General features: G+C 38.5%; 2 long non-coding RNA genes across 4 annotated transcripts in view; one reads left to right on the forward strand and one right to left on the reverse strand.

Moving 5' to 3' along the window:
• The window catches only part of LOC105377013 (uncharacterized), a 47433-nt gene extending 39189 nt beyond the window's left edge, over positions 1-8244 (reverse strand). The window contains exon 1 of the long non-coding RNA XR_940683.2: positions 8185-8244. This is a non-coding gene — a long non-coding RNA (uncharacterized LOC105377013). The remainder of the gene's footprint in view (positions 1-8184) is intronic.
• The window catches only part of LOC101927995 (uncharacterized), a 119590-nt gene extending 109138 nt beyond the window's left edge, over positions 1-10452 (forward strand). For all 3 annotated transcript variants that reach the window (XR_001740628.2, XR_007095856.1, XR_001740627.2), the window contains one exon: positions 10105-10452. This is a non-coding gene — a long non-coding RNA (uncharacterized LOC101927995). The remainder of the gene's footprint in view (positions 1-10104) is intronic.
• The last annotated feature ends 6282 nt before the right edge of the window (positions 10453-16734 follow it).

Below are 16734 nucleotides of genomic sequence, written 5' to 3' on the forward strand. Positions count from 1 at the left end.
GGATAACCTACTGATGTCAGGAGCCAAGCCCAGGGCCCCACTGCTCTGCACAGTCTCAGAACACTGCTCCCCACATCTCAGCCACTCTCACTCTAGCCTCAGCACAAAGTGTCCCAGTTACAGCTTAGGCTGCTGCTTCAGATCATGCAAGTTGAAAACCACATGGTATTAAGCCTGCAAGTGCACAGAGTACAAGAGTAAGGGGGGTTTGGCAGCCTCTGCCTAGATTTCAGAGAATGTATAAGAAAGACTGGGTGCCCAGGCAAAGCCTACTGAAGGGGCAGAATCCTCACAAAGAACCTCTACTAGGGCAGTGCCAAAGGGAAATGTGAGATTGGAGGCCTCACACAGATTCCTCACTGCAGTACTACCTAGTGGAGCTGCAAGAAGGGGACCACTGTCCCCCAGACCCCAGAAGGGTATATCCACGAGTAGCTTGTACCCTGCACCTGGAAAAGCCATAGGCATTCAATGCCAACCAGTGACAGCAGCCATGGGGGCTGAACCCTGCAGAGATACAAAGATGGAGCTGTCCAAGGCCTTAGGAGCCTAAGGATGCACTGGCATTCTTGCACCAGTGTGCCCAGGATGTTGGGCATGGAGTCAAAGGAGATTATTTTGAAGCTTTGAGATTTAATGACTGCCCTGCTGGGTTTTGAACTTGCATGGGGCCTATAGTTCCTTTCTTTTGTCTAATTTCCCCTGGAATGGGAATGTTTAGCCAATGCCTACAACCCCATTGTATCTTGGAGGTAAACTTGTTTTGATTTTATATCTCATAGGTGGAAGAAACTCACTTCCAGATGACCCTTGGGACTTTAGATTTTTGAGTAAATACCAGAATGAGTTAAGACTTTGGGGGGACTGTTGGGAAGGCATGATTATATTTTGCAATGTGAGAAGGACATGGGATCTGGGGGAGTCCAGGGATGGAATAATATAGTTTGGATATTTGTCCCCACTCAAATCTCATGTTGAAATGTAATCTCCAGTGTTGGAGGTGGAGCTATGTGGGAGGTTTTTTGATCATGGGGGTGAATCCCTCATGGCTTGGTGTTATCCCCATGGTAGTGAGTGAGTTCTCATGAGATCTAGTTCTTCAAAGTATGTGGCACCTACCCCACTCTCTCGTTCCTGTTCTGCTATATGAGATGCCTGCTCCCCCTTTGCTTTCTGCCATGAGTAAAAGCTCACTGAGGCCTTCCCAGAAGCTGAGCAGATGCTGAAGCTGTGCTTCCTATAAAGACTAAAAAACTGTAAGCCAGTTAAACCTCTTTTCTTTATAAATTACCAAGCCTCAGGTGTTTCTTTATAGCAGTGCAAAAAAGGCCTAATGCAGAATACTCTTCAACTATAAAAAAGAATGAGATCCCATCATTTGCAACAACATAAATGGAACTGGAGGACATTATGTTAAGTGAAGTAAGCCAGGCACAGAAAGATAAACTTTACATGTTCTCACTCATTTGTTGAAGCTAAAAATTAAAACAATTGAACTTATGGAGATAGAGTAGAAGGATGGTTACCAGAGGCTGGGAAAAGTAGTGGGAGCAGCAAGGGAAAATGGTTAATGGGTATACAACTATAGTTAGATAGAATGAATAAGATCTAGTAGATCTAGTCTTTGATAGCATAACAGGGTTCTTAGAGTCAACAAAAATTTATTGTACATTTAAAAATAACCAAAAGAATATAATTGGAATGTTTGCAACACAAAGAAATGATAAATGCTTGAGGTGGTGGATATCCTATTTCCCCTTGTATGATTATGAAGCATTGTATGACTGTATCAAAATAGCTCATGTACCCCAAAAATATATACACCTATTATGTATCCATAAAAATTAAAATACATATAATTGTGAGATGTAATTTGGAACTCAGTGGGACCCCATTCTCTTAATATACAGATAAGGAATTTATTGTGAGAGCTATTTATCCATCTCCTCATTCTGAATTTCTTGGGAACTAGCAAGGAATATGGAATAGTGGAAATAAATGAGGATTTGAAGACTCAAAGATCCAGGTCCAAACATGTTTTCCATCATTTTTGGCCCATTTAAACATTGATGATAATAGTACTTCTTTCCATCAAGGTTATAGAGTTATTCGATAAGAGAGCTGTAGGTAGAATGAGCTCAATGAGATTAGGGCTTTTATCCTTGTTCACTGGTATACCCCACAAATTTTACCTAGTGTCTGGCATGAAATAGGTACTCAACCAACATTAGATGGTACTGAGGTAATTTGTGCTTTGCCTGGTTCTTAGTAGGTCTCCATTAAATCTTATTCTCTCCATTTTCCACTCCTCCATTAGCTAGGAGTCCAAGGAGTCCAAGGACAGCCTTGGAGCACAGAAACAGAATTGTCAGAGATATTGGGCTTCAATTTTTTTTAAAACAAAGCTATAGCTAGTCCATGAGCCAATTCCACTCTTCAGATATTTTTTGTTCTACACAGCTCTGTTAAGAGGTTTTAATAAGTTTCTAGCATTTAGGAGAATAAAATATTTCACATCAATATCTGAATTCTAGGTCCAGAAAAGTTGGAAAATCTGGCAATGCATGAGTATATTCTCAAGAGTCAGCAAAAAAGCAAGAGATCTGCTCCCTTTAAACACGGCATATGTGTCCCAATTTACCACGACCTCTGCCACTCCCTACTGTTCTCTGACACTGTAGTTGACTTGCTATTCATTATCACCTTTTCTCTACTGTTTTCTTATATCCAAATGCCACTCTATATTACCTCCCTGATTACTGAAGGTATTGCCTCTGTCACCTCTGTTCTATAGTTTTAAAATGGTCAATGAGAAAGAGATGGATCAATGCATAATTTTAAGCCTATGGTTGGAATGGAGATTTAAATACAAGGTGAGGATCAGGTGGACATTCATGTAATAGTCCTTTCTCTTGCTCAGATGATAATGATAAAGCTATGTCAAAGTAGGGTTTATATTTTAAAATAAAGTTTTCCTAATCTGTGAATGTCAATAACATAAATATCACCACTGATACCATAGAAACCCTGAAATATTTGGGATATTTCATAAATGTTTAAATTTAAAACCCTGAATGTCTTTATAGCAACGGCATATCTAGAAACATTGACTGTGCTTATGCTTTGGTACTGAATCTTAAATAATTTCATGGACCAATGGCATCTGAATCAGTAGTCAGCTACAGAGGGGGTGACAAAGAGTATTTGCTGCTTTTGTGACCATTGCTATCAAAATGACTGTGATATGTTTTTCCTAGTCTTTGTTTATGGAAATTAGCAATTTGTGGCCTCAAGAATTTTAGGATTTATCATCCTAAGATAAGATGATGAGAAGCAAGAAAATGTAATCCTTTGCAACTAACTTTAAAACATCCGGGCTCATGGGATGTGGAATAAGTGAAAGCTACCCAAAATCTAAGCAGAGAAGAAGGAGAAATGTGGGAAGGAGAGAAGAGAAAAATTCAAGTAGCCCAAGATTTTATCCTCATTTTTTTCAGGTTATAAAAGAAAACTGCAAAAAGAGAGGGGAATGAAAAGGAGGAGGAATAGGAAAGAAAGAGGAATGAGAAGGCAGAACAGGAGAAAATAATTAGTTGTAGAATTGATAGGAGTTTTATCTTTCCTTTTCTCCCTTTTGGAGACCACATAAAAGTAAAAAAAAAAAAATCAAGATCATAAAGAGTTTACAAGGAGCCCTTATTTGATGAAATATGTCGGCCTATATCAGCCTAGGAATCTATGAAAACTCTAACTCTTAGGAACTTGTTCTTGACTTACAATTGTCCCTATCATGAAAGCTAGCAATAAAAAAAATTCATCTTTAGTTTCAATTGATTTCCCTCTCCACATGCAAGAACATAAAACTTCTTTCCTCAGGACTCAGTACTTTAAAGTCTTAAATTGACTCACAGAGTTGTGTTAGATTTTATTAATGAACAAATAAAAAGGAATGTAGGGTACAGGAAACCTGATTATGGCCATAGATACAGCTATTTTCTCCTCTATCATATATCATAAATAAAGTTAATATTTTGACGTTCATCTGAGTCATCTATTTATCTATTCCTTATTTCTGAACCTAGAGAGGCAAGAGAGAAGTGTTATTTATTGTTTCATAAAACTTCCAATTAGTGAATCAACTGGGAACCTTGATAGATAGTTATTAGCACTGATATTTAGAGACTGAGATAGTTCATGGAATCCATGGAGACATGATGGATATTGGTTGAATCAGGGCAGGAAGATGAGACTTTAAGCTTCAGTGTTTCATAAACTCAAGCTTCTCTGTTTATTTTATGTTGGTAATTCATAATAGCTTCCATGGTGATTATGCAGCTGTTTTTTAATAAGTATGAGCTGTGGGACCTCTGCAAGTTCCTTTGACTGTTTTTATGGGCACAAATTGGCTTTAGCAGGGACTATATCGACATTCATTCATTCAAATGCACAAATATTTGATGAGGACTCACTAAGTGCCAGGCACTGCTCTGAGTTCCCAGAACACATCAGGGAGCAAAGAGTAGGTAAAGGTAAAGAGGAACAGGAATTTCACAGGTTAGAGGAGGGTTTCCAATATAAAAACTGTAAGACATGACAGAGAAGATCACTGTATAATGATAAAGAGATCAATTCTTCAAGAGAATATAACAATTTTACATATATATGCACCCAACAATGGAGTACCCAGATACATACAGGAAACATTGTTAGGGCTAAAGAGAGATATAGGCCTCAAAACAACAATAGCTGGGAACAACACCCCACTTTCAGCATTGGAGAGGTCCCTCAGACAGAAAATCAGCAAAGAAACATCGAACTATGTCTTTTGATTGGAGTGTTTAGTCCATTTACATTCAATGTTATTAATCATAAGTAAGGACTTATTCCTTCATTCTTGTCTTCCTCTAGTGAAGATAATTTTCTCTGGTGATATTATTTAGTTTCTTGCTTTATATTTTTTGTGTATCCATTGTATTTTTTTTTTTTTGGTTTGAGGTTACCATGAGGCTTGCAAATAACTATCTTATAACCCGTTATTTTAACCGATAACAACTTAACACTATTTGCATAAAGAAGCAAAAAGAAAACTATTAAAACTCACCTTACCTTTGTACCCTGCTTTTTAACATTTTGTTTTTTCTATTTATATATTACTGTACTGACTATGTCTTGAAAAGTTGTTGTAGTTATTGTTTTGGATTGGTTCGTCTTTCGTCTTTCTATTTAGGATAAGAGTAGTTTATACACCACAGTTATAGTACTATAATATTCTGTGTTTTTCTGCATACTTATTATTATGAGTGAGTTTTGTACCTTCAGGTAATTATTTATTGCTCATTAATATCCTTTTCTTTCTGATTGAACTATTCCCTTTAGCATTTCTTGTAGGACAGGTCTAGTATTGATGAAATTCCTCAGCTTTTGTTTGTCTGGGGATGTCTTTATTACTTCTTCATGATTAAAAAATATTTTCACAAGATACACTATGCTAGGGTAAGTTATTTATTTTTCCTTCAGCACTTTAAATATATCTTGTCACTCTCTCCTGGCCTGTAAAATTTCCAGAGAAAAGTCTGCTACCAGACATACTGGAGCTCCATTATTTATTATTTGTTTCCTTTCTATTACTGCTTTTAGGATTCTTTCTTTATCCTTGATCTTTGGGAGTTTTATTATTGAATGCCTTGAGGTAGTCTGCTTTGTGTTAAATCTCCTCAGTGTTCTAGAACCTACTTTTACTTGGATATTGATATCTTCCTCTAGGCTTAGGAAGTTCTCTGCCATTATCCCTTTTAATAAATTTTCTACCCTTATCTGTTTCTCTACCTCCTCTTTAAGGCCAACAACTCTTGGATTTAACCTTTAGAGCCTATTTTCTAGATTCTGTAGACATGCTTCATTGTTTTCTTTCATCTCCTCTGTATATTTTCAAATAGACTGTCTTCAAGCTCACCTATTCTTTCTTCTGCTTGATATATTCTGCTGTGAAAGGACTCTGATGGATTTTTCAGTATGCCAATTGCATTTTTCACCTCCAGAATTTCTGATTGATTCTTTTTAAATGTTTCAATCTCTTTGTTAAACTCATCTGATATAATTCTGAATTCTTTCATTGTTATCTTGAATTTCTTTGAGTTTCCTCAACACAGCTATTTTGAATTCTCTAACTGAAAAGTCACATATTTCTGTTCCTCCAGGGTTGATTTCTGGTGCATTATTTATTTCACTTAGTAAGGTCATGTTTTCCAGGATGGTGTTGATGCTAGTAGATGTTCTCTGGTGTCTGGGCACTGAAGAGTTAGGGCATTTATCGTAGTCTTCACTGCCTGGGCTTATTTGTAGCCATCCTTCTTGGGAAGGCTTTCCAGATATTTGAAAGGACTTCGATATCGTAATCTAAGATGTTTCTACTTTATGGGGCACCCCAAGCTCAGTAATGTCCTAGTTCTTGTAGACTTGTAGAGGAATCACCTTGATAGTCTTGGACAAGATCCGACAGAATTCTTTGGATTACCAGGCAGAGACTCTTCTCTTCCCTTACTTTCTCCCAAACATACAGTCTCTCTCTCTTTTCTTGAAAACCTACATCTGGGGGTGGAGTGACACAAGTGGCCACCATCACTATGACTGACTGACCTGAAACCAGCACAGAGCTCGGTCTTGCCCAAGGCCTGCTGTAACCACTCCCTGGCTATTGCCAATGTTTGCTACAGGCCCTGGGTCTCTACGATCAGCAGGTGGCAAGGCCAGCCAGGCCTGTGTTCTTCCCTTCAGGGTGGCAAGCTCCTGCTGGCCCTGAGTGGGTCTAGAAGTACCCTCTGGGAGTCAAGGACAAAAGTCAAAAACTTTAGAAGTATACCTGGTATTATATTGTATTGCAGCTAAACTGGCACTCAAACCAGGAGATGTAGCCATTTCCACTCTTCTCTCCCCTTTCCAAAGGCAAAGGAGACTCACCCCATAGCCAACACTGCCTCTGGCCAGGAGTACTGCCAGACTGCCACTGATGTTCCCTTAAAGCCCAAGGTCTCTTAAGTCAGTTTGTGGTAAATGCTGTCTGGCCTGGGACTTATACTTTAGGGCAGTGGGTGCCCCTCTGACCCAAGGCAGGTCAAGAAATGCCATCCAAGGGTCAAGTCCTGGAATCAGGAACCCCAAGAGCCCGCTTGGTGCTCTACCTACCTGTGGCAGTCTTGGTACCTAAGGTGCAAGACAAAGTCCCCTTTTCTTTTCTCTCTGCTTTTCTCAAGCATAAAGACTTTTGCACCATAGCCACCATGGCTGGTAATGTGCTGAGTCTCACCTGAAGCCAGCAAGTCTCAGAGGCTCACCAAGTCCCTCAGTGTAGTACCTGGGTATTGCTGCTCGTTACTCAGGGCCCAAGCGCTCTTTAGTTAGCAGCATAACCCAGGGGGTTCAAGGCAGCAGATTCCCTTCTGAACTAGGGTGTTTCTAGAAATGCCATCTGGGAGCTAGGGCCTGGAATGGAGGCCTCATGACTCCGACCAGTACATTATCCTGCTGTGGCTGAGCTGTTTCCAGGAGGCAAGACAAAGTCCTCCCTATTCTTCCCTCTCCTCTCATCAAGCTGAAGGAAGGAGTCTCTTTTGGAGCTACCAGCTGTGCAGCCTAGGATTAGGAAAGGGGTGATGCCAGCACTCCTTTGGGCTTCCCCAGCTGGTGTCTTAGTATGTTGTGTGCCCCCAAAAGTCCACTCTCTCTGGGCATAGTTCAGCCCTACAACTTGCCTAAGATTTGCAGGTCTTACGACCTAGACTACCTTTCAAGTTTACTTGGAGACTGAGAGCACTTTGGCTGTTGATGGTCAGGTTTGTGGGCACTCAAGATTAGACCTCTGGAATCTGCGATTCCCCTCTGTCTAGGGCTGGTTGAAATCCTCCCTCTGTGGGTGGGAGTCAACTGAATTTGCTCTGGTTTTCCTTTCTGCTGTAACAGAAACAGCGCTGAGTTCAATGCCTCACAATTGCTGGGTTCTCCCTTCCCCAGTGCCCAGAGAGGCTCCCTACACCATGCTGCTGAGGCGGGGCGTCGGGGGTGGGGGGTTAGGGAGTGTGGGGGTGTTGATAGGGGAGGTGTAGCATCAGCAATTCAGGTTGTTTTTTCTAACTCTTCAGTGCCTCCTTTAGCGATAGTAAGTTAAAACCAGGTATTATGAGTGCTCACCTGATTTTTGGTTCTCGTGAAGGTGTTTTTTCCATATGGATAGTTGTTAACTTAGTGTCCTTGCAGGAGAGATGATTGGAGGAGCTTTCTATTTTACCATTTTGTTCTGCCACTCCAACTACCAAAAGAAATATTTTTATTTGATCAGAGACAGTGACTTGAGCTGCAAGGATATCTTCAAAGAAAGAGAGGTAAAATTTCAGAGAGTAAATAAAATGACTTCTCCACAAGGATTCAAGACCCAAGAAAACATAGTCATGCATAGGAGGCTGAGGCAAAAGAATCGCTTGAACCCGGGAGGCGGAGGTTGCAGTAAGCCGAGATCACACCATTGCACTCCAGCCTGGGCAACAAGAGCGAAACTCCATTTCAAAAAAAATTAAAAAAAAAAACATAGTCATACACTGCATAACAACATTTCAGTCAACTATGAACTCCATATACGACAGTAATCTCATAAGATTATAATGGAGCTGCCTTGTAGAAGTCTACCATTTTATACCATAGCTTTACCTTTTCTATGATTAGATATATATAGATACACATTTTTTTTACTATCGTGTTACAATTGCCTACAATATTCAGTACAGTAACATGCTGTATAGGCTTGTAGCCTAGGAACAATAGGCCATATCATATAGCTTAAGTGTTTTTGCTCAAGGACAGAATGACTTAACAGCATATTTCTCAGAAGATATCCTCATTCCTAAGCAATGCATGTCTATGCTTGGAAGTGCTTTTTAAAAGCTACAGATAGAATATCTACTATGCAAGTTTACAAAGAACTGTGTCTATGAAAATGGGGCCAGAAGAACCAAGGAGCTGCAGAAAATGTAGACTAATCTGTAAAGATCAACAAAAGTTATGTCAAGTGTAAATAGACAAGTTTTAATACACCACAGTTATTTTATTATAAGTGGGTTATAGGTATTGACTGATGTCTGAAGGAAATTCCTGAGAAGTTTATGGAATGAGAACTCCTAGGGACTAAGGGTGACCATATAATTTATTATCCAAACTGGGACACTTTTGAGACTGAAAAGGGGAATTATTAATAATGTATTAATTTCCTAGGACTGCAGTAAATAATTACCACAAATTTGGTGACTTATAATTACATAAATTTGTTTTCTTATTGTTCTGGAAGCTACAAGTCTGAAATACAAATGTCAGCAGGTCTGTTCCTGCTCTGTAGTCTCTGGAGAAGAATTCATTCTTTCCTTTTCCTACTTTCTGGTAACTCCCAGCAATCCTAGATATTCTTTGGCTTGTGTTATTAGATATTCTTCGGATATTCTTTAGCTTGTATTAATAGCTGTATCACTTCAATTTCTGTCTTTCTATTCACATGGACTTCTATGTCTCTGTGTCTTCCCTTTATCTCTCTTATAAGGACACTCATCATTGAATTTACAGTTTACTCCACCCTAATACAGGTTGGTCTCATCTTGGGATCTTTACCTTGATTACATCTGCAAATACCCTTATTTCAAATAAGGTCACATTATGTAGTTCTCAGTGGGCATATCTCTTTTTGGGGGGGACACTATTCAACCCACTACAAATAATTTCACCATGACAATAGGACTGTCCTGGGAAAACCAGGGAAATAATAATAGACCTAAAGAGAAAGTACAAGAAAGATAAGAACTACTTAAAAATAACGAATGACAGGACAATGATCGAACAGGCCCAGTCCTATGTTGGAGGCTAGTTGAATGGAGATTTTTTCTGAGTGAGAGTTCCTTACTACTTTGTTATAGATGCTGGTAACACAGTTGTTATATATTTGTAAAAATTCAGTGAACTATATGTGTATACTGTTTTCTGAATCTGTAACTCTACTTTTACTCTTTTTTTAAAGGCTCATACGTTTGTTTTTCTAACATATCTTCCTATATTATTTTCTTACTCATAAAGGTGAAGGAAGACAAGATTTTCTTGAACAATGGATGCATTTGGCGGACCAAATCTCAATATCTTCAGATCTCTAACATTGGTTGGTACTACATGGGGATACATTGGAAATAAGGCATCAATTCTGGGAAAACATTTTGCTCAGAAAACTGAAACTCACTCTTAAGTAGATTATCTCAAAAGCAAGGCTTTTGGAAATCTCATTGTGGTTATAGATGCAAATTTAAAGCTAATGTTTTATCTACCAAATATAAAGCTCATGTTTTATCATCATTAGTCTGATTCATGTATCTATTCCTCAAATACCCCAAACTTGGCAGGGTTGGAGAGGAACATTATTAACTGGAAAGAAAGATGGGAAGCACATGAGAGAAGATCTTAAATTACAAATTATAATGACTGAGACATTTTTAGAAGGTTTATAAGACTATTTGAGGGCAGAAGAGGATACTGTTGTGCAGTAGGCCTTCCCCTTCAAATCCCTGGTTCTAGGTAGAACAATTTATACCTCAGATTTTCATCTGTGCCTAAGGCATAGATAGTGGGTATGTAGGCAATTCAATAGTCATCCTACTCTCATGGGTTCAGAGGCAGGTGGCTTCACTACATTTCATGACAAAGGAGGCTATGTTGAGTTTAATACTTTGGTTCTGAGACATCATATGTAAATTTTATTCCTCAAAAAACATTTTGAAATTTTTTTTCTAGTCTTTTTCTCATTCAGTTTTGTTATTTACTTCCAAGTTGAGGAAAGTTTTTGAAAGGCTATTGGAAATTAATAGAGAATTAAGCATTATTACTAATTTAAGTAAATAAATGTCACTGGTATTCTCTTCTGACCTGGAGAGAATAGCAATGACATTTATTTATTTAAATACCAATAACATTTATTTATTTAAATTGGTAAGGATACAAACCATTTGTTGTATTATTTTACAAAAAATAAATCAGAATTGTCACAATTTTATTTAAGATCTGATTCCTCTAACTCTGTCCCCACCCAACCTCTCTCTCACATTATTCCCCATAAAGAAGAATTTCCACCCTTAAATCTCCTACCAATGAGACTTCACACCCTTGCTGTTGGGAACACATATTGTACCCTGGTTATCATCTCATGTCTTTGTACTTGCTTGTCCCCAGCACGGGGTAGTCCTGGCCCAAATCTTCACATTGTTGGCTCTTCTATAGCATTCTATTATCCTGTTTAATTTTCTTTACAGCATATGAAATTTTCTTATTTCATCATTTGTTCACTTATTTGTGTTAGAAAAACTGCATGAGAGAAGGTACATCAATATATGTCCAGCCCAGAGGAGTGATTGGTAAATATATGATAAATGAATGTCCTCAGAACAAGAAAATAAAATTTTTTTTCTACCTTTTTTTTTTCAGTTCAAGATTATAGCTCAGTGGCTAAAGAAGAAAAACTCCAGTGTTTTCCCACCTATAAATTAGCTTATGAGGTAATCGGAAAAAGACAAGACTTAAGAATAAAATAATAAAGACTACAAGGCAAAGATTTCTAATACCTAAAAAGAGGAACAAAGAATATATGTTGATGAAGAAATTCATCTATAGACATATCAGGTTGAACTCGAGTAGGAGAAATTCTCATTTTCAAGGAAGGTCACAGAAGTGGAAAACACTTACTTTGAACTACTAATCCTGGAATTTCAGGCAAAATGCAATACAATTTAAGTTATTGAGTCAGAGAGAAATGGGCAGAAGGAATGGAATTCTCTTAAGAAAAAGAATTTAGTGCTGGGATTGTTCTTACAGTAGAAAATGCTGTGCATGTTTGCAAATCAGGAAATGAATGAGAATTCAGTTTTTCAGAACCTTCCTTACAAGGGGTTCTTACATGAGAAATTCCTAATGTTATTTTTAATAAGTGGTTATAATATAATAATGGTAATAACAATGATGAGTAATTACAATAGCAACTGTTCAATTTTTATGTAAAAGTATTTTAAAAGAGAGAAACTTAGATGAGTTTTTTTCCAACCCACTACAGATTAAATAGATCTTATCTCAGTTGAAAAAAATCACTTTAGAAAAAATGTCATCAACTTTTGCATCTCTTTGGCAGATAAACTCTACAATTCCCTTTATAACCTCACACATCTGTCCATGAGGGGTGTACACACAGTTGGACCTTTTCCACACTTTCTGATTTGGGAAATGTCTAGAGAAGTTCCTTTGCATGCTCAGGAATGCACTGACTGAAGAAACAGCACACTTACTGCTGGCAAGACTCTGAAATAATGGGTATCGTGGCATGGTTTGGGAAAGTTGCTTGCCATGGAATGTGTGGTTCAGGCAAATCGTTTATCATAACTTGCAACCCCTGTTCACCTTCCAACTGTCCCTTAATCAGACCTGTTTGTCCAGAATAGTGGTAAAGTGGTGGTTTGGAACCAGACAGTCCTAGTCTCAAATAAGACACACTGCATTTCAGAATATCAGTCTGTCTATGTGTGGAGTGAGGAAAATAGTCCATCAAGGTTATAATACATATAAATCTTCTTGTTCATAGTTGATTTTCAATAAATATTACCCATTGTCATAAACTTCTAATGGAAACAGTACAAGAATGAAATCATAGTTCTCTTATCCATTTCCTTTGGGTGACCGTTTATGTTTTCTCTAATAAATTGCCAGAAAATCCCATTTTTAAAAAATGACAGACGGTCTGTTCTTTTGTAAATCACTGGTTATGAAGACTGAGTCAATTGGCTGCCTTACTCTTCTCTCCTCATTGTCCCAGAAAAGAGATGCCTATGTTTTCAGCCCCAGTGGATTCCCAAATCTCAGGCCCCCAACCCCCAAAAATAAAACAAAGACAAAGACATGAAATGTATAACCAAGAATGTTTAGAAATCCTTCTTTCAAAATCATTGCTAATGACTTGATAATTACTCCAAGGGTTTGTCAAGCATGCATCACATGTGTTCACATTTGGGAACTGATTATTTCAAAATCATCTTATTTTGCTTTAGTGTTTCAGCTCCTTCAGATGTCTGCTGAAGATTTACTGAAGAAATACAAATTGGTGGCATGTTGATTAGTCAATTATGTTACATACTAGCCATTCATATGAAGAGTGTGAAGGAAGAGTGTGGCAGGAAGATTTCCTCAAACAATACTCAGAAATGTGGAAGGTTTAATATAGTGATACTAAGGCCACAGTTCACTGTATCTTTGAATAGCACTCCTTAAAATACAATGCTCTCTCACATGTCATTCATGATTCCACTAGTGCTAATAATTACACTGTGATGGAGTTATTATCAGCACTGTCTTAAAGGTCAATAACTGAGCCACCAGAAATCTCATATGCATGTTATCTAATGAGTGGCAGATCCTGCACTTAAACTCATGTAAAGTTAAAACATGCATACTCACTAAGAACCAGGGGCTTTTCATATGATATTTATTCCTCAAGGCAACCATACAAGAAGGGTGACATTTTCTTAGATTTTGGAAAACTAAGACACTTGCCCTCAATATATATCTCTTGTCTGAAAGTACTTAGGTAAAAGGAGCATTCGGCGAACGGATGGATAACAAGGTATCTCACCTAATCAAATAAAGAGTGAAAAAGTTAAATATATCAAATATAGGAGTGGAGTTGAGCCCCATGAAGAGCTGAGTATAGGAACTTGAATAATGCCAAGATGTTCTCTGGCTCATTTCCACATCTTATTCTGATAACTTCATTTTCTCTCAGTGAGGTTAGGCTTTCTCCATGTGGTGGGTGTCAGTATCCCTAAGTCTCCTATGCCTCAGCTTCACCACTAAAAATGAGAACCTTTATTTTTTTCCCCTCAGATCCTTTAGTAAAAATCTAGGCGAATAACCTATTTGCTCAATTTGGTATAGGTGCCTAATAATGGACAAATTAATTGTGATCAGTGGGACAGGGCCATCTGGGAACATAGTGAGTTACTCTATCTATGACCACATCATTGGAGTGGGTAAAGGAAGGGGTGTTCTATTCTGAGAAGAATGGGAAAACTCTAGGTAGGTAAAACAACAAATATCTGTCTCAAGACTGTAATGTATCAGCCTGATCTTCTGCCTTATGGATCATAAGCCTCTTGAATCACAATTCCCATATTTATCAAAGGTGGATGAAGCCTGTTATTTAAAGAAAGTAAAGGTAAGGGGGAAAGGGGAAGGGGAGCAAGAGAGCTGGGTCATGTTACATGTACGGCCATCTATATGTTTACAACAATTTATTTTATGGAAGAGGAAACTGAGGCTCAGAAAAGTAACTTGTACAGAATTATAGAGCTATTAAGTGACAGAAGCAAGATCTGAACCCAAGTTGACTGTCTCCAGAGCCCATATCCATAACCACTAGCCCCAAAAACCTCTCAACAAAAATGGAGAACAAGAAACCACTAGACAGAACAGGGAAGAGAAGCTGTTTTTTCAAGGCCATCCAGAGACTGATGTGCAATGGCCAAGCAACAGGGATTATAGAGGGCTCTGCTCTTGGCCAACTGTGTGATCTTGCACAAGTGCTTGACCTCCCTTAGCCTGTTTCCTCATTATCAAGAAAACAGATGGGACAGGCTCAAACATTCCTAGAGTCTGTTATGCCATACAGTCAACTGCATCAAAAACCCCAGGGAGGTGGCTTCGATTCCTATTCTTTTTCTAAAACATAGTCCTTCTAGGTGAACTGGAGACTATGTGCTGAGATTCTTCCCAGGTTTGCCTCCCCAGCTGCATGTGGCACACACGAGGCATGGTTAGATGATCTATTTTCTATGTATGTTTGTAGCCAGTTGTTCAGCTCCACTGTGATAAAATCATGAATCATTGTTACTGGATCTCAGTGAAGCAAATATGATGAGGCAGGAAAAATTTCTCAGAACACATACCCCAGAGAGACTACAAATGAACCATTGCGTTATTGTCTTTTTTCAAATCATGAGATCATTCTGATTCTTTCACACTTTTTCATGACACACACTCTTTCATTCCCCAACTTATACACACCCCAAGTTCGGTCCTTGTCTTCCTACCCAAACTCTTAACTCAGGACAAACTTTGACTCAAATGCAGACCCTAATGTGTGATACCTAGCCCATCTAGCCAGTAAGGTGAGGGCCAGAGCTGGCTACAAAAAGACAATCTTAATGAATCCTCTGCTGAATAGGAAATGTGCTCTGTTTGTGAAGCTAATTAACTGAATTCATTTAATTGAAAGATGGTGCGAGAATTCTGTTTTCTTTCAGAAAAGGCTGAAGGAATTGAAGAGAAAAATCCTCACCCAATAGCATGCCCCTGACTATATGTCACTGGGAAGTCACAGCAAATGCTCTGAAGGTACTGAATATATGTTTCCAATTGCTTTTTAGCTTTGTAATTACAAGGATCTAAAAAACCTTGATTTGACTTTTTAATAACTTATGGTGAAACCCCATTGCCAGCACAAGCAAAGCAATTTCCACTATGCCTGTGGGACAGAATAGATCATGAAAGAGTAGTAGGATGGGAAAGTGGTTTATTTCCTCTCTTCTCCAGTATTCTATTTTGTCACTCATTTTCATTTCCTATTTTTAAATGCTAGCTAGTGAGCATCCAATTCTGTGTGCAGGGATTGTTTTCTGATTTCAAAGCCCTACAAGGCCAAACTCAAACAGGAACGGGGACTTATTTCAGCTAAGCTCTGGAGAGCATGGAAATGCAAGAGATTTTTGTTTTCCTCATTGCATGTGTATTATTTATCATTCTCTGCTATTTCAGTGAATTTTAAGGACAAGGTAATGTGTTGATTCTGTCTTTCACCATTACTCAAATACCATTCAGGGGTGTTAATTTTGTTTCTTTTTTAATTATCTTTGTGTAGGGTTTGTTTTTGCTGCTGTTGTTTCTTGTTTGCTTGCTTATTTGTTTGTTTGTTTTTCTAATTTAATCCTCCCGAAGTTTTTTTTTTAAATGATAGCTCAAGTTTGTTTGTATTCACCTAAAAATAATCTAGAGCCCTTCAATAACTTCTTGGTCTACTACTGACAGTTTACTTCAAGAGGCAGCATATACAATGAACTTTCAGTCCTGACACCCAAAACACTCATAGCTAATAATGAAACCCATGAGGTCTGCAGGGAGAGAAAAGCTATTGGGTTTGTTCCCAGTTTTTCTCACTCAGAGTTGTCCCACTTTCCTATGTTGGGGCTCTCTGGAATACAATTCAGAAGTTTGGAAGACATGTCTTTCAATCCCTAAATGGAGCATTGAACTCAACCCAGCCCAGCTTAAGCCACAAAGAGCTTCAACCTTCAGCAGCTGTGGGTTTCCCCTGCTCTTATACCAAGGTGCTGTGAGCAATCAGCCAGCTATTCTACCTCCAGACCTGGGTGGAACTGAGAACAAAAGAAGTGCTTAACAGGGCTGTGCCGCCAACATGCCAAACGCCCAAACTTCCCCCAATACATGGCCATTACACGCTTCTATTCTCAGGAGAAGATAATATAAACCAAATACTACATGAACATCACCCGAAAAGATGCAAAGTCCAGATCAAGGGTAGGAATGCTCATGAGAGCAACAATCATAGAGGATAACAGAGGTCATACCTGATGTCATCTGAGAGGAGAGATGTTACTCCTATTCTTA

The sequence above is a fragment of the Homo sapiens genome, chromosome 3, assembly GCF_000001405.40.
Source record: "Homo sapiens chromosome 3, GRCh38.p14 Primary Assembly".
Classification (NCBI taxonomy): domain Eukaryota; kingdom Metazoa; phylum Chordata; class Mammalia; order Primates; family Hominidae; genus Homo; species Homo sapiens.